This window comes from Homo sapiens, chromosome 13 (assembly GCF_000001405.40).
Source record: "Homo sapiens chromosome 13, GRCh38.p14 Primary Assembly".
In the NCBI taxonomy this organism is placed as follows: Eukaryota; Metazoa; Chordata; class Mammalia; order Primates; family Hominidae; genus Homo; species Homo sapiens.
The window spans coordinates 31,321,477-31,339,846 of NC_000013.11; the positions used below are offsets into that span (position 1 = coordinate 31,321,477).

Consider the following 18,370-nt stretch of genomic DNA (forward strand, 5'->3'; position numbering starts at 1 on the left):
GCATTCCATGTCATAAGGGTAAGTATTGTTTGTGACATTTTTGTTTCAGCTTTATACATACCCATGCACACTCACACATGAAACATATAAATGGTTGCAATGTGAAATTAATTTCTTGTTTTCTGATGGCGGGTCACAGTCCAGTAAGTTTTTGAAAACCACTACCTTAAACCATCCATCTTAGGTAAGGATGTTTTGACAGAGCCGAGTCAGACATGTAGGTTCCTGTGGTTTCTGTGTAGGTATTTTGCGTTGTTTGGAGCATGAGACCTTTGTACTATTTGAATCCAAGTGTCTGTTTTTCACTTTGTTGCTTACTCCATGAAAGTTTTGGTACTTGGAGAAAATAAATTGAATGACCATTTTTTTTTTATTATTTCAACAGGCTTTTGAGGGGCAGGAGGTGTTTGGTTATATGAATGAGTTCTTTAGTGGTGATTTCTGATATTTTGGTGCACCTGTCACCCAAGTAGTGTACGCTGTGTCCAGTGTGTAGTCTTTTATCCCTCATCCCCACCCCTCTTCCGAGTTCCCAAAGTTCATTGTATCATTCTTATGCCTTTGCATCCTCATAACTTAGCTCCTACTTATAGGTGAGAACATGTGATGTTTTGACCATTTCTTTTTGAAAATACTTATTTACATATGTGCATTTAGGTAGGAAGCTGTGCTTAGGCTATCTATCATCAGCCTTTTTGGCAGCCTTGGGAGCAAATGACTACACCAGAATAAGATGTTGGGCAATGTCCTCGGAAGAGGCCGCAGGCAGTGTTACCCAGAGAGACTGCCATGACCTATTTATTGGCTGAAGGCCAGGAAGGGCAGGCATGTTTCTCATGCATGTTCCCTTCCTACATCGTCTTGATCTGCACTGTGTTCTTGGGCAAGTCCCAGACTCCCATTTCAGTTTTTCTTATTTTAAACATTTGTATATTGTATATTGAAGGAAATAAAATAATCCTGTAGCCTTTCAACATCTTTTTAATGTTTAATAGTTGGTGGCCAGAGCAGACAAGTGTTCTTTCCCACGATGATATGACTGGTAGTTTTCCATTTTGGGGAGCAACCTTATTTGGAAAGAACTCATCAGCATGCTAATAAACAAGTGTTATTAACGGCTCATATTCACTTAGTTTATGCAAATAATTAATGTAAGACTGTGTGAGTAGGCAAAAGTATAAAATAATTACATATTAAAATTTCATGCTCACGTTTCATCTTCCTATAAAGTTAGTTTTTCAGAGAGCGGATCAAAAAAATGAAAGTCTTTCTCATTTTTTCTCATTTTACTAGATGCTGACAAAAGAAAAAAAGCATTTTTACTATTTACTGTCAACACATCTTCTCATGTGTGCTCTTTTCCCGGAGTCAGTAGCTTGAGCCCAACGTGGCCGATTGGGTGTAGGAGTTCCACTCAGCCACAAAAAATGTGGCCAGGGAGGTTTCACTGTGGACAGCAGGCTTTCTAAGAGAAAGGCAATTTATGGTGGGTTTTCAGACTTGCAGTTTTCCTTTCTCTGTAGTTGACAGGAACTTTCTTTTTATACCTTCCTATTTTGTTACAACATCTTAAGTAAAGAAATTCTCTTGTCTAGTCAAGGGCAGGGAGGGAGTTCTGCACTGTTGCAGGGGACGGAGGAGGGGGTTGGCCACTAGCATTAGGTAAAACTGCTGAATTGAGCCCAGCATGTGGAATCAGTATTTTTGATTCAGGGATTCAAGCTCTTTGTCCTTTTTTCCTTCCTCCTAGACTGATTCATAGAATGTTTCCTCCCCCAGGAAGAAGGTCTTTGTAAAGGCGACTTTGTTCTCACTTGTTTGATGCATCAAACTTCCATTGAGTGCTGTGGGCAAGGCCCTATATGTGGCAGTGGGACTATATGGATGAATTTTAAATAGTTTTGCCTTAAAGAAAGTCTTTGATGATTGAGACTGAACTTATGAACCATATTGTTTCCTTCGGCCCTTTCAGTTATTGAGCTTTTTATGGTATGAAAAGATTCATTTCTACCTTAGGATCAGAATGAAAACAAGAAACCAATCTGTATTTTAAAACGAAGAGAAATTATTTTGGGAACTTGGTACAAAAGTGTTGGAAAGGGCCAGAAGACTAAAAGAGAACAGGTAGGGTTTTACCTAGAGCTCAGTAACTAGAGAAAGCTACTATTGCCTCTCAGTCTGCAGGAGTAAAGTCCTGTTTCCCGGGGCCCATTTGTGCAGCAGCGGTGTCTGTGGAGCTTCTCTAACCCCTTTCTCTGCTCTGGCTCCCACTAGAATGGTCTTCAGCAGAGAAGCCGTCAGGAGACTTCTCGCCAGTAAATGTCGATGCTACAGCAATGATGCTCCCGATGATATGGTCCTGGGAATGTGCTTTAGTGGCTTGGGAATCCCTGTGACACACAGCCCTCTCTTCCATCAGGTGAGGAAATGGTTTTTATTCTTCCCTCATGGCAGGTGAGGGACAGATTCTTCTCACTTAAGGATTTGACTTCTTTCTCTTCACATATTCGGGAAACAGACTAAGAACTGTGTTGACAGGCTCCAGGGGAATGTCCTTAACCAGGACTGTTACCCTGTTTGATGTACACACTGTCTCATGTACGTCATGAAGATGGGAGGCAAAAACGTCTCGAAAACCAAGTGGCGTTTGACCAGGATCCTCGCCATGTAGGACCAGGGAAAAGCTGTTTTTTGGTTTATCTTTTTAGTTAAAAGGATTGGTAGCATTTAAAAATTATTGGATACTGCCTAGAAATATATAGGACTGACCTAATATTGTCCTACTGGCCACTGAGTCTATGTAATTCTACACCATCCTCAGTTTTTACGCTATCTGTCTTTTCACTGAGCTTTTTCTCCTTCACTTGCCATTAAAATGAATGGCTAAAATCTATTAAGTTGCAAATGGGTATCTCAATAAGCATATATTCTGAGGGTTATGGAAAAGAAGAGATGAGCTTATGTTTACCAGGGACGGGTAGTGCTTTTAGCCTCCCCATATTGCAGTTTGGGGGTTGGAGAAGGAAATCCTCCTGCATTATGTTTAGTATCTTTTAAGAACCAAGTCAGTGAATTTTCTTTTAAGAATAATAGCAGTTGTTCACAAACTAAAAATAACCATAGATCCATACCCATCTAATATCCTCCTCAAGAAATTTAAAGTTTTTGAAACTTGAAGTGTGTATGCATAAGTATTTTAGATGCCTTCTCTTATATTGAAAATACTTTTTTTATGCCTTATTTATTTATTTTTATTTATTTATTTATTTTGAGATAGGGTCTTGCTCACTGCAACGTGGCTCACTGCAGACTTGATCTCGTGGGTTCAAATGATCCTCTTGCCTTAGTCTCCCAAGTATCTGGGACTACAGGCGCACACCGCCATGCCTGGCTAATTTTTAAAGTTTTTTATAGAGATGGGGGTCTTACTATGTTGCCCAGACTGGTTTCAAACTGCTGGACTCAAGCGATCCTCCCACCTCGACTTCCCAAAGTGCCAGGATTACAGATGTGAGCCACTGCACCTGGCCCATGCTCTATTTATTTGGTAACCAGTAGCAAACATTATCATAGCAATATAGAAAACTTAGCATGACAGAAATAGTATACTATAGAAAACAACTCGAATAAGACTAAGAAAGTGTTTGCATCATCAGGAAAGGCAGAATCCATTTCTGTATCCTTGAGACAATAAGAGAGGATAAAAAGAGACCTTTAATATAAGGAAATGTATGAGAAACCTCCTTCCTGGTGTCAGTTAGAAGATACTTACTTGTCCTTTAGGACTTTGAGAGGTCTTACCCACTTTAAGCCTGTGTATTGTGTTAGGATGACTTAGGAAAGAAAGCGTTATTCTCTGCGGTTCCCTCTCTTGCTCTGTCTCATGGTGTTTCAGTCACGCAATAAAAGGGGTAATTAAAACTGTTAGTGTATAAGGGAAATAATTTATCAAGGTTAGTGTGACAGGTCTTAGATTTTTGTAGCAGCCCTTTTCATTTAGGGAAGAATAAATTAGCTAATAAAATGATAAGGAGAAAAGAAGGAAAATCATCTATAGGCAAAAGTCCTTTGAAGATAATTTTTTTAAAAATAAGGTTGTTGTTTCCCCCACTTTAGAACCCTTGATTTCTCTAATTCACATACATTTTAAACTTTTCCAAAATCATAAAATATGTTTAAAACCTATCCTCCCCAACAGATAATGCTGTATCTTCCAATTCTTAAGCCTCTTTTAGAGAGTTTGGTAACGATTTGGATAGTGCTTTCCATTTATAGTGTTTAAACACTGATCCAAACTGTGTTTGTTCATCTTCACAAAGAAATATGAGGCAAAGAGATAAAATTTAAGAATCCTGATGAGCTAGAGACAGAGTGGGCATTTGGAAGCAGTCTCATATGCAAAATTGCCTGGGCCGTCACATTTCTTCTGTTTTTAGAGAAAGTTATTGTGAATTCGCAGATTTAGAAGGGGACTCCAGGGAAAATCTAGTATTTCCCTTTGTTGAAAGCACAGCACCTAGAGCATATGGTTTTCTGTTCTTCCAAAATTATGTGCCACTAATGGACATGGCAGTGTGCAATGATTGGTGGTTGCTCAACTCTGGAAATTTCCCGAAAAGTTTTAGACCACCGTTATGGTGGGTAAACTGTATGGGATGGAAATCATTTTTCAATACAGTTATAGAAAGGCACTTGTCTAAGGAAATGTGATTTTAATCTCCATTTGCTGCCCTGTTTAGTGTGCTCCAGTATTTACAGATGAAAGGTTCTAATTTTGCCCAATGTAGGAGGTCTTTCCCTTTTTTTTTTTTTTTTTTTTTTTTTTGAGATGAAGTCTTGCTCTGTCACCCAGGCTGGAATGCAGTGGCATGATCTCGGCTCACTGCAACCTCTGCTTCCTGGGTTCAAGCGATTCTCCTGCCTCAGCCTCCCAAGTAGCTGGGACTATAGGTGTGTGCCACCCGCCTGGCTAATTTTTTGTATTTTTAGTAGAGACGGGATTTCATGTGTTAGCCAGGGTGGTCTCGATCTCCTGACCTTGTGATCCACCTGCCTCGGCCTCCCAAAGTGCTGGGATTACAGGCCTGAGCCACCACACCTGGCTGTAGGTCTTTCTTAGGCAGTTTCAGCCCCTCTCTCTTCCTGTATGCAGATGCCTACCACACTCTGTGTCTGTTCCTCAAGTTCTTCACCACCCCTCATCCTGCCTGTTTGGGATTTCCTCTTGACATTTTGGGCACAGAGATATGATTATTAGAGGCTGCATAGAGTTCTTGGTATTAAAGATACCATTTTGGATGTATTTCACTTTTCTGGTTTTGTCTAATGCTTTTCCATTACCTCATTTGTCAAAAATGACCAGTAAATTGTAATGTTTAATAAGCCAGCTCTTTTAATGCATGTATAGCCTCCCTGAGATGCAGCAAATCACTTCTAGAATCTGCATTAATAGAGTGGAAAATGTTATGGTTTATTTTTTTTCCTGTTAGATGCATTTCTATCTTCAACAGTTCATTTTTAAAGGTGAAAAACCAGCAAGGATTTGTTTCCATTGCTTTTACAGTAGTCCTTCCTTAACCACAGGGGATACATTCCACAATCCCCCCAGTGGATGTTTGAAACCTTGGCTATACTGAACCCTACGTATACTATGTTTTTTCTTATATTTTACATACCTATGATCAAGTTTACTTTAGAAAGTAGGCAGAGTAAGAGATTAACAACAATAACTAATAATAAAATAGAGCAATTATAACCATATGCCAGCATCACTACTCTTGCTTCAGGCTATTCTTAAGTAAAATAAGGGTTCCTTGAACACAAGCACTGTGATACTGCTGCAGTTGACTGGATAATGAGGCGGCTTCTAGCGACTCAGGGGCAGGGAGTGTAGACAGCATGAAGATGCTGAACAAAGGGAGGATTCATGCCCAGTGCGGGATGGAGTGGGACACCCCAGATTTCATCCTGATACTCAGCAGGGCCCGCAACTTAAAACTTAGGAATTGTGTATTTCTGGAATTTTCCATTTAATATTTTCAGACTAAAATTGACTGTGGGACACTGACACTTCAGAAAGTGAAACCATGGATAAGGGGGAACTACTGTATTTCTTTCTTCTGGGATCATTGTGGAATTATCTTCTAACGGAATTGAGAGGATGTTTCTCCTTGGTTTTCTTCCTTGCCAGTAAACTCTCAGAGGGCCTTGCAAAGAAACGTCGTATAATAAATGAATTCCTTCAACTAATATTCAAAACTTTCCCAACTCTGTTAGACTGTATTCCAGTGTGTATTTTTTGTCTGTCTCACTGTTTTTTCCTTTTAAAATTCCTTTTAGATTTTTAACTCCCTGAGCAGTTATAATTTCTTAAAAATAGCAATTGTGAAAGTTCTCCCCTTAGATTATTTTGAACTTTTCTTCGCAGATATTATTGTTGGAACACTCATCTGAGCAGTATATTTGTACTGGTGAAGCTAGGTTAGGCCAGGTGCTGCTGAGTGTGCCCAACCGGCGGTAAGATGGCTTGAGCAGAGGCAGCCGGTGTCCTGGCAGAGCACTGGCCCTGGGCTGAGCACCTCTCTCTGGTCTCTATTCCAGTGTTTGCTAGTCATGTTACTTCTGGGAGCTCTGGTTTTCTCAGCGGTAAATTGGAAGTGAACCATAATATTCTGTCCATTTTATAAGGCTGTTTCTAGGATTCAATAAGGCAAAATTTAACAAAGGTATTCTGTAAACCATTTAAGTGAGTTTAAGTATTCATATCAAAGATTTAGGCAGACTGTAATAAAAAAAGTAGCCTACAAAAGACTTGTTTTTAAAATGCATCACATCTAGTTTTAGTAGTCAAGACAATTTTAGTATTGATGACCTAATGAGTTACTTTATAAAACAGTGGCCCATATAAATTAATAAACAAATTTAAGATGATTACTGGCTGGGCAAAGTGGCTCACGCCTGCAACCTCAGCACTTTGGGAGGCCAAGGTAGGTGGATCACCTGAGGTCAGGGGTTCGAGACCAGGCTGGCTAACATGGTGAAACCCCCGTCTCCACTAAATACAAAAATTAGCCAGGCATGGTAGTGCATGCCTGTAATCCCAGCTACTTGGGAGGCTGAGGCCGGAGAATCGCTTGAACCCGGGAGGCAGAGGTTGCAGTAAGCTGAGATTGCCCCACTGCACTCCAGCCTGGGCAGCAGAGTGAAACTCCATCTCAAAAAAAAAAAAAAAAAAAAAAAAAGGTTTACCGAGAGAAACTGGATACTTTGCTTAGAGAAAACAAAATAGTATCTGATTTCAGTTTCCTTCTAACCCTATATGCTACTTCTTCAATCTTATTCTAACCTGTATCTAGTTCTGCTTAAGTTTTATTTTCTAACTTCTAAAAAATTTTGCAATGTAGATAATATAAAAACTTTTTAGGTCCTTTCACAAACTATTTCGGGTTACTTGCAATTCTCATTTACACCTCTGGAACTAGACTAGATATTTGGTCAGGAAGAGAGCATGAGTTACATTATCCTCCTCCCGAGTGAGCTCCTTGTTTTCTTTCTTCGAATGACATCACCTAATTACACATTAGAGCAGTAGAGAGGCCAAGGGAAATCTGAGAAATCCTTGTCCCAGCCCCCCACAACAAACTTACGGCCAGTTTCCTTAGAAGTACCTGGAACATAACAGTTTTTCTGTCTTTGTGCAGAAGTGATAATAGTAACTTAAATGGCTTATCAAAGAAAGCTTTTTGTATTTATTACTATTGTTTAGGAATCTCCCAGAGGCAAGACTATGGAACATAGAAGCAAAAAGCAGTGCATTTGGGGTATTAAGGTAATTGGAGACACAAAAGCAAAGCACCTGGAGTTAGAAGAAAGATATCAGAAAATAGTTTCCTTTTTGCTTTTAGATTCCTATAGCCAATGTTAGGTAGTGAAGTAAAGCAGTCCACTTTATAAATTCAAATGCTCTTCTGCAGCAAAATTATATTCAATCAACAAGGAAGCCTAACTCTCTATTTTTCCTGCAGGCTCGGCCGGTGGATTACCCTAAGGACTACCTTTCTCATCAAGTTCCCATATCGTTCCACAAACACTGGAACATCGATCCAGTGAAGGTGTATTTCACATGGTTGGCACCCAGTGACGAAGACAAAGCCAGGCAGGAGACACAGAAAGGTTTTCGAGAGGAGTTATAAATCAGGGTGACCTGTGCGCCTAGCCTGCGCAGGGAATGAACTGGAGACTGTGGCCTCATCCCACTGTGCTGTGCTCACAACACTTGTGTCTGCCACATGGCATTGGGTGCTTCCTGACTTTAGGGGGAGATTTTATGTATGGTATTTTTTGACAGAGGAAGAAAAGGGGTCACAGGAGAAACATTTTTTTTTCTGGGAAAAATCACTTGCTTTTGACTTATGCAGTTGTTTTAACACTTAGTGATGACTGTGTATTCTCCAAGCTGTGATACAGCAGTTTTTTTTTATTGTCACAGGGAAATAAATGGTACCAGAAGTCCCTTTCCTGTTCTGTCTCTTCATTGTAATGGAAGTTTCAGTTGGGCATGAGCCTGGAGAGATGTGACTGTCTACAGTTCTATTTGTATATATAAAAAGAAGACTGAAAGTCTTTTGACATGGATATTGTGAATGGTATGAACTTTTAAACCATATTATTGATGATGAAAATTATTTCCTGGGAACTCAGTAGGAATAATACCGTATTAAGGAATAATACTGTACATAAAACATCATGAAACCCTAGATATGAAATCCCCTGAAGTCTGTAATCATGGTGGTTATGTTTTGTCTATTCTTTTGCTGTTTGTGCCTCATAAAAAGAGAATGAGGTCTTCTGCTAGAGCTTCGTATTGCTTTGGAAGTTCATCTGTGTTTTATTTCTCCCTGAAGCCCTATCTTTATGGCTTACTTGTAACATGAAAGTAGTAGATGCTGCCAGAAAATAGTGTCCTCAATATTTTAAAACAATGTTGACATGTTTTGTTCAAGTCAGCAAGCTCTATGTGAGTCTCAGGAAGTGAATTAAATTTGGACCTTATGTTTTACTCTTGTTTTTTTTTTTTTTTTAAATGTTACTTAATGACTCTCTCCTGACTCAGGAGAGAAACCCCTTGTGGAAGGACAGCATGGTGATCAGGCAATTTCTCTGGGTTCCCAAAGAATGACATTTGAACACAGTATTTTGAAACAGCTCTAGTTTTCAAATTATATCTTTAATATATAGTAATGTAACATATTCAGTATTAATGTATAAAAAGCACTCTAATTATATAATTCAGTTTTTGTAAAGGTATTTGCATAAAATTTAATATGTCTTAAACTAATTTTGGTAAATTACTTCTTTTTTTTCTTTTTAATAAAAACTGTTACTCATTAACTTTGCTTATAATGCTTTTTATAGCCCAGCACAGAATTTAAAGCCATACCACCAAAAGTACCTGTGTGTGTTAATATGTTTTTCTTGTAGCATAGATTGACTATTTGCAATAGTATTAGTATTTACCATTTTTCCAAATTAGCAACTACCAGACCTCACGTGTTGCAGTGATAACACAATGCATTGGATTCAGTTTTGTGAAAATGGATTCTGTGGCCATCCAAGGGATGTATCAGGGATGATCAGCTGATGAGAGGCTCCAGAAGGATTTCTAGATCGCTTCAAGCCTATACTGATGGCCTTAGCTTTGTTCAGTCATTGTAACTGGGATTGTTGTCATTGCTACCGTGGTAGTCACCTTCATGTCATCTATAATAGTACTCCTGGAGAGCCCTGGCTGCCTACACCAGTGGAAAAGAGTCTCCAGTTCTGCTCTGGCCTACTAACTGTTACCACTGAGAGAACAACATGTTCATTTGACATGATTGAAGCTGGCATCCGTATATGAAGATCCTTGTCAAGCTTTCTTCTGTGGTCTGATTAGTGCCTTCTACTGATACCGGGGCACCTCCTCTGGTACTTTTAAGTGTTTTGTTAATTATATTTACTTTTTGGAATGGTGTAAGCCTAACCACAAGTAAAAGATCTTTGCCTAAGTTTTTGATTTCTCAAATATTGTGTTCATTAGTCTAGACTGGGAATGGGGAGGGGAAATGGGGAAAATGAATGAATGAAATCAGAAAAAAGTCAGCGGCTCAGTAAATACAGTTTAAAGAGAGAATAATTACTTCAGAGCTACCCTTTTAAGAGAAAACCATCAGAAATTGATAATGTTTATATAAAGTTTATAAAGCCATTGTGTTTTGTTATATAACAAATCAGAGATGTTATTTTAGAATCGATTCCCATCTAAAGAACTCAATTTTGAGTCTGACATTTCCAGGACCAGATATTGTCTTACTCACATTTCCTTTGCTTTGAAATAGGGCTTTCCTTCCAAATGGCTATTTTTAGGCTAGGGATGTTAACATCAGGGATTTGTGTGTGGAATAACTGGAATGTCATTTTTGCTTTTAAGCCATTTCTGATGATATAGCCAAAGCAGGTTGTCTGACTATGTAGGATTTTTACATCTTGAAACTAAATCAGAAATCCAGACATGAAAATAACCTTTCTAGAATGCCTAGGAGCAGAAAACAATAATAGCATGCTAAATCACAAATGATGCTATGTATGGGTATGTAAATATCAGTGCTGTCTGCATTTCTGGGTTTATTGAAGACCTCTTGTTGTATATATCCTCAAAAATTAATGTAATTGACATCTTCAAGAATGTTTCTATTGTCTTCCATTCATAATCAGAGATGTAATTTGTATGGACTAAATAAAAACTTTATTATGTAATGAAAAGTTGAACACTTTCTTACAAAGAAAACTCTAGGCCCAGATGGTTTCATCGGTGATATTCTCCAGGCATCCAAAGATGAAATACTATGTTTATGGGACATAAACTCTTTCAGAGCATAATGAAAAAGGAAACATTTCCCAGCTGAATTTATGAGACCCAAGTTTCTCTGACACCAAAACTTGACAAAAGAAAATCACAGACTAACAACTTTCATGAGCATAAAAGACAGTGATCCTAAACAAAATGATCAGCAATATGTAAAAAGAGGATACATAAAAAGGATAGTAACTCATGACCAAATGGGTTTATTCCAGGGATGCAAGGCTACTGTAACATTCAAAAATCAAGTAATTCACCACATTAATAGAATAAAGGAGAAAAATTGTATAACCATTTTAATAGCTGCGCAAAAAAGGAGGAAAAAAAGCATTTGACAGAATTCAGCAGCCAACCTTGTAATTCTCAAACTAGGTAAATTCGTCAATATAATAAAGAGTATCTACAGAAAAAAGTATCATAAATACCTAATGCTTTCATATTGAATTATTTCTCCCCCTAAATTTGGAGGAAAGACTAGAATGTTTACCATCACTACTTCTATTCAACATCGTTTAGGAGATCCCAGTCAGGGGAAAGAAAAGAAAATTATATAAAGAGTAAATAGAAGTAAAAAGATATTTACAGATGACTTGATTGCATACAAACAGAATCCAAAGTATTTTATAATGAATTTAGTAAGATCACTAGATACAGGACTGATATAAAAAATAATTGTATTTCTACATACTGGCAACAAACAATTTGAAAATAAAATTAGGGAAACAATGTTATTTACAATGGTTTACAAATATTAAATACTAAGGAAATCGATCTTAAATGTTACCACCACTGCCAAAAAAAAAAAAAAAAAAAAAAAAAAAGCAGGAATGGATGGATATGCTAATTGGCTTGATTGTGGCAATCATTTTACAATGTATACATATATACAATCATGTACACTAAGTATATACACTTTTTATGTGTCAAGTATACCTCAGTAAAGCCGGAAAGCATTAGCAAGCATCTAGAAATATCTAGAAATAAATAGTTGCAAGATCTCTGCACTGAAAACCAGAAAATCTTGAGAGATATTAAAAAGGAACTAAGGTTTATCATTTTATGTACTGAAATGTTCAATATTGTTATGACTACAATTATCTCAAATTGATCTACAGATTTATTTCCAGTAAAAATCTGAGACTTTGTGTGTAAAAATTGACAAATTGGTTCAAAATATAGAAGGAAATGCAAAGGACCGAGAATAGCCAAGCCAATTATGATGACAAAATTCGAAGATTTACAAGAACAGATTTCAAGACCTACCAAAAAACTACTCAAGTGTTTTACTGGCATGACGATTGAAGTTAGGTAAATTGAGCAGAATCCATATATAATATGATTACTTAATGTAAGACAAAGGTGATACATGCAGTTCATGAGGGAAATGATCTTTTCAATAAATGTAGAGAAATTAGATATATGGAACAATATGAAGCAACTACTAACTCGGATTACAGACATTATATTCAAAGATTAAGCTATAAAGCATCTAAGAACAGTACTTTTCAACTGGGGGCCTTTTAGCCCTGGGAGACATTTGGCAAGATTTTTGAATGTCACAACTGGAAGGGGGTGCTACTGGCATCTCATGGGTAGGCCAGAGATGCTGTTAAACACCCTACAATGCACAGGAGAAGAATTAACAAGGAATTATCTAGCCTCAAATTTTAGTATTGTCAAGGTTGAGAAACACTAGTCTAGAGGAAAACCAGACTAAAATATCTTCATGATCTTAGGTAAGCAATGAATTATTAAACAGGTAATAAAAAGCCACTATCTAGGGCTAGTGTGGTGGCTCACGTCTGCAGTCTCAACATTTTGGAAGGCTGAGGCAGGAGAATTTCTTGAGGCTAGGAGTTCGAGACCAGCTTAGGCAATGTAATGAGACCCTGACTCTACAAAACAACAACAACAAAACGCTATCTACAAAATTAAAAAGTGGATACATTTGATTTTATTTTAAATAAAACATTTTTTTTCTATCAAAGGAAAAGGCAAGTTACAGACTGGAGAAGATATGTATGATATATCTGACAAAGACTCTGTGGCAGACAACTCTAAAATAGTCCCCATGACCCCTGACTCCTGGTATTCATACCCTTGTGTAATCCTCTCCCCTTGAGTTTTCATGGGACCTATGTGACTTGATTTTAACTAATTGGATATGGGATGTATGTGATTATGTGTATGTGAATCTGTTCCATAAGCCTGTAATATTCATCTCATGAGGAGATACTCTTCCTTGTTGGCTTTGAGGAAACAAGCAGTCATGTTGGGAAAGCCTACATGGTGAGAAACTAAGGGTAACCTGTAGGCAACAGGCAGCAAGAAGCAGACTGGAAAGCGGTATACCACAAGGGACTGAACACTGCCACCACATGAGTTTGGAAGAAGATCCTTCCTCATTTAAGCAAAAGATGAGACCACAGCCCTGGCCAACATATCTATTGCAGCTGTGTGAGAGATCCTAAAGCAGAGGACCAAGCTAAGCCATGCTGAGACTCTTGACCCACAGAAACTGTCAAATAACAAATGTATGTTTGTTTATACCCCTAAGTTTGCAGTAATATTGCTATGCAGCAGTAGATAATACAGGTTCATAGCCAATACAACTCCTACAAATCCGAGGACACAACGCAGTCAAAAATGTCCAAAACACTTGAACAGGCACCTCACAAGAGAGGAAATACAAATGGCCAATACATGTATTTTGAGTGTTCAACATCATTAATGAGATCACAAACCCACTGTGAGACATGCTATGCGGTTACAACAATGGCAAAACTAAAGAGACTTGATACTTTTGAGTGTTGACAAAAATGTGAAGCATGTATTGAATTCTTATAAAGTATTGCTTAAGAGTACTAAATAGCCACACTGCAAAATTATTCTCAGCATTTTCTACTAAAGCAAACCAAACATCTATGCCAGGGTTCAGCCAACTGCTGCCCATGGGCTAAATCCAGGCCACCACCTGCTTTGGTCAACAAAATTGTATTACACAGGCACGCCCATTTGTTTGCATATTGTCTATGGCAGAGTTGACTCATTACAATGGAGAACGTATGGCTTGCACAGTCTACATATTTCCTATCTGCCTTTTACAGAAAAAGTTTGCTGACCTCGGGTCTACACTATGTCTCAGTAATTCCTCTCCTGAGTGCACAGTTCCACAAAATGAAATGTTCAAAAGAGTTCATATTTGCTTTATTATAACAGCCCCAAATTGAAAAAAAATTTCTACCAAGAAGAGATGGATAAATTATTATATATCCGTACAGTGATGGATAATTACTTCACAGCAATTAAAAGGAGAAAACTATTGGTAGACATTACAATGTTAATGATTCTCACAGGTATATTGAACAAAAGGAGGCAGACACGAAAGAAAGCATAGATTCTTTTTATAGGAAATTCAAGAATAGGTAGAAATAGTTGATAGAAGTTGAAAAAATAGGAATTCCTGGTGGTGGGGTAAAGAAAAAAAGCTGCCTAAGGGGCGTTCACTGTCAACTCTTAGTGGAGCCTTTGCTGGCAGTGGATAGCAAAAAACTACAATTCTCCAAAAGGATTTGGTGTGTTGGCTACTTCATATGGCTAAATATACATTTATGTGTTCTGGATGCTAGAAGAGGCAGGGATAGGATTGCCATTCTATTGTGAAAGTTCAGAAATCTTATTCAGTATTCTTATGTAATTGGGAGACAACACCACCTGTGGAAGAACATGAGGGGTGGCAATTAGAATCAAATAACAGTAGGTGTTTTGGGGTCAGACTGAGCAGTTGCTGTGGCAGCACCTCACAGACTAGGGGATGTGAGGGCCAGAGCTGAGTGTCGACTTGGGCCCCCACATTTGCCCGAGTGCCCTCCAAGTCAGATGGGGTGAGGTGCCCTTGTGGCTGTGGGCAAGGTTGCTCTGAACTGCCCTGGCAGGACAGTGGAGGTTGAGGAGTTTCAGTTTTCTGAGGAAAAAAACACAGGTGAAAACATGATGTGAAGATGGAAATTGTCCATAAAAAAGCAAAGCCTGGTGGAAGTGGCACTTCAGGTTGGGTCCCAGTGGCATCATTCTTAATATTGGGATGTCGGGGGTTATGGGGTGAATCCATGCCCTGGCAGCCTTTCTGCATTTGGCAGGAGAGCTTCTTCTTGAAGCAATGAATCAGGTGATGGGGGAGTGGCCATGGGAGGTTACCCCAAAGAGGTTGCAAGAGATTAAAGAAAGAGTAATTGATGAAGGTAAAGAAATGGATGCTCACTCCTATTCAACATAGCATTGGAAGTTCTAACCAGGGCAATCAGGCAAGAGAAAGAAATAAAGGTATTCAAATAGGAAGAGGGGAAATCAAACTGTCTTTTTTTGCAAATGACGTGATCCTATATCTAGAAAACCACATCATCTCAGCCCAAAAGCTTCTTACGCTGATAAGCAACTTCAGGAAAGTCTCAGGATACAAAATCAGTGTGCAAAATTCACAAACATTTCTATACACCAACAATAGACAAGCAGAGAGCCAAATCATAAATGAACTCCCATTCATAATTGCTACAAAGAGAATAAAATTCCTAGAAATACAGCTAACAAGGGAAGTGAAGGACCTCTTCAAGGAGAACTACAAACCACTGCTCAAGGAAATCAGAGAGGACACAAACAAATGGAAAAACATTCCATGCTCATGGATAGGAAGAATCAATATCATGAAAATGGCCATATTACCAAAAGTAATTTATTTAGATTCAGTGCTATTCCCATTACGATTGACATTCTTCACAGAATTAGAAAAAACTACTTTAAAATTCACATGGAACCAAAACAAAGAGCCCATATGGCGAAAACAATCCTAAGCAAAAAGAACAAAGCTGGAGGCATCATGTTACCTGACTTCAAACTATATTACAAGGCTACAGTAACCAAAACAGCATGGTACTGTACAAAAACAGACACAGACCAATGAAACAGAATAGAGAACTCAGAAATAAGATGGCACATGTACAACTATCTGATCTTTGACAAACCTGACAAAAACAAGCAATGGGGAAAGGATTCCCTACTTAATAAATGGTGCTGGAGAACTGGCTAGCTGCATGCAGAAAATTGAAACTGGACTCCTTTTTTATGTGAAACTGGACCCCTTCCTTACACCACATACAAAACTTAACTCAAAATGGAGTAAAGACTTACATGTAAAACCCAAAACTATAAAAACCCTAGAAGAAAATCTAGGCAATACCATTCAGGACATAGGCATGGGCAAAGATTTCATGATGAAAAAGTGAAAAGTGACTGCAACAGAAGCAAAAATTGACAGCTGAATCTAGTTAAACTAAAGAGCTTCTGAACAGCAAAAGTAACTATCACCACAGTGAACAGACAACCTACAAAACGGGAGAAAATTTTTGCAATCTATCCATCTGACAAAGGTCTTATATCCAGAGTCTACAAGGAACTTAAATACATTTACAAGAAAAAAAAAAACATTAAAAAGCGAGCAGAGGACATGAACAGACACTTCTCAAAAGAAGCTATACATGCGGCCAACAAACAGGGAAGGGAACAACACACACAGGCCTGTCAGAGGTGGGTGGTTAAGGGAGGGAGAGCATCAGAAAAAAATAGCTAATGTATGTTGGGCTTAATACCTAGGTGATGGGTTGATAGGTGTGGCAAACCACCATGGCACATCTTTACCTATGTAACAAACCTGCACCTCCTGCACATGTATCTTGGAACTTAAAATATTTGGTAGAACTTAACAGTGTTGGGGGAAGAAGAAGTTGAAGCTGACAGAAATGTTCACACTCCCAGTCTTATCCTAAAAAAGATTTGAAGAGGGAATTCACTGAAGTCTTTTCAAAGGAAATTATTTGAATCTCTGTGATCCATGCTTCCATGGAGTTTGTGTTCTAGGAACCTTTCTCTGACCTTCTTTTTGAGAAGCCAAAGCCACCACCCAATGGAGACAGCCAAGTGAATCTGCTGCTGCAACCTCAGCAAAGAGGGATGCCTTCACAATGGTTTGGAGAGAATTGACTGCACATAAGAGATGGAACTCCAGAAACTAGTTTCCAAACTAAAACCATCAGATTTTAGAAGGCCATGAGCCAATAAACATGAAATATGGACTGAAAAGTTTTATAAAATGGGTGTGATAATAGCTCTGCCTGTGATTTTGTGTCCGGAATTGGTGGGTTCTTGGTCTCACTGACTTCAAGAATGAAGCCGCGGACCCTCGCAGTGAGTGTTACAGCTCTTAAGGTGGCGCGTCTGGAGTCTGTCCCTTCTGATGTTCAGATGTGTTCAGAGTTTCTTCCTTCTGGTGGGCTCATGGTCTCGCTGGCCTCAGGAGTGAAGCTGCAGATGTTCGTGGTGAGTGTTACAACTCATAAAAGCAGCGTGGACCCAAAGAGTGAGCAGTAGCAAGATTTATTGCAAAGAGCGAAAGAACAAAGCTTCCACAGTGTGGAAGGGGACCCGAGCGGGTTGCCAATGCTGGCTCGGGCAGCCTGCTTTTATTCTCTTATCTGGCCCCACCCACATCCTGCTGATTGGTAGAGCCAAGTGGCCTGTTTTAACAGGGTGCTGATTGGTGCGTTTACAATCCCTGAGCTTGATACAAAGGTTCTCCACGTCCCCATCAGATTAGTTAGATACAGAGTTTCCACACAGGTTCTCCAAGGCCCCACCAGAGCAGCTAGATACAGAGTGTCGATTGGTGCACTCATAAACCTTGAGCTAAACACAGGGTGCTGATTGGTGTATTTACAATCCTTAAGCTAGACATAAAGGTTCTCCAAGGCCCCACCAGAGCAGCTAGATACAGAGTGTCAATTGGTGCACTCACAAACCTTGAGCTAAACACAGGGTGCTGATTGGTGTGTTTACAAACCTTGAGCTAGATACAGAGTGCCGATTGGTATATTTACAATCCCTGAGCTAGACATAAAGGTTCTCCAAGGCCCCACCAGAGCAGCTAGATACAGAGTGTCGATTGATGCACTCACAAACCTTGAGCTAAACACAGGGTGCTGACTGGTGTATTTACAATCCCTGAGCTAGATATAAAGACTCTCCACATCCTCACCAGAGTAGCTAGATACAGAGTGTCGATTGGTGCACTCACAAACCTTGAGCTAAACACAGGGTGCTGATTGGTGTATTTACAATCCCTGAGCTAGATATAAAGACTCTCCACGTCCCCACCAGACTCAGGAGCCCAGCTGGCTTCACCTAGTGGATCCCACACTGGGGCTGCAGGTGGAGCTGCCTGCCAGTCCTGTGCCGTGCGCTCGCATTCCTCAGCCCTTGGGGTGGTCAATGGGACTGGGCACCGTGGAGCAGGGGGTGGTGCTCCTCGGGGAGGCTCGGGCCGCACAGGAGCCCATGGAGTGGGTGGGAGGCTCAGGCATGGCGGGCTGCAGGTCCCGAGCCCTGCCCCGCGGGAAGGCAGCTAAGGCCCGGCGAGAAATCTAG

General features: G+C 39.3%; 1 protein-coding gene across 5 annotated transcripts in view; it reads left to right on the forward strand.

The window, feature by feature from the left end:
* The window catches only part of B3GLCT (beta 3-glucosyltransferase), a 132,302-nt gene extending 121,502 nt beyond the window's left edge, over positions 1–10,800 (forward strand). For all 5 annotated transcript variants that reach the window (NM_194318.4, XM_011534936.2, XM_006719768.4 and 2 more), the window contains 2 exons: positions 2,275–2,419; positions 8,025–10,800. In NM_194318.4, the coding sequence (NP_919299.3) occupies positions 2,275–2,419; positions 8,025–8,192 (313 nt within the window). In that variant the 3' untranslated portion in view covers positions 8,193–10,800. The remainder of the gene's footprint in view (positions 1–2,274; positions 2,420–8,024) is intronic.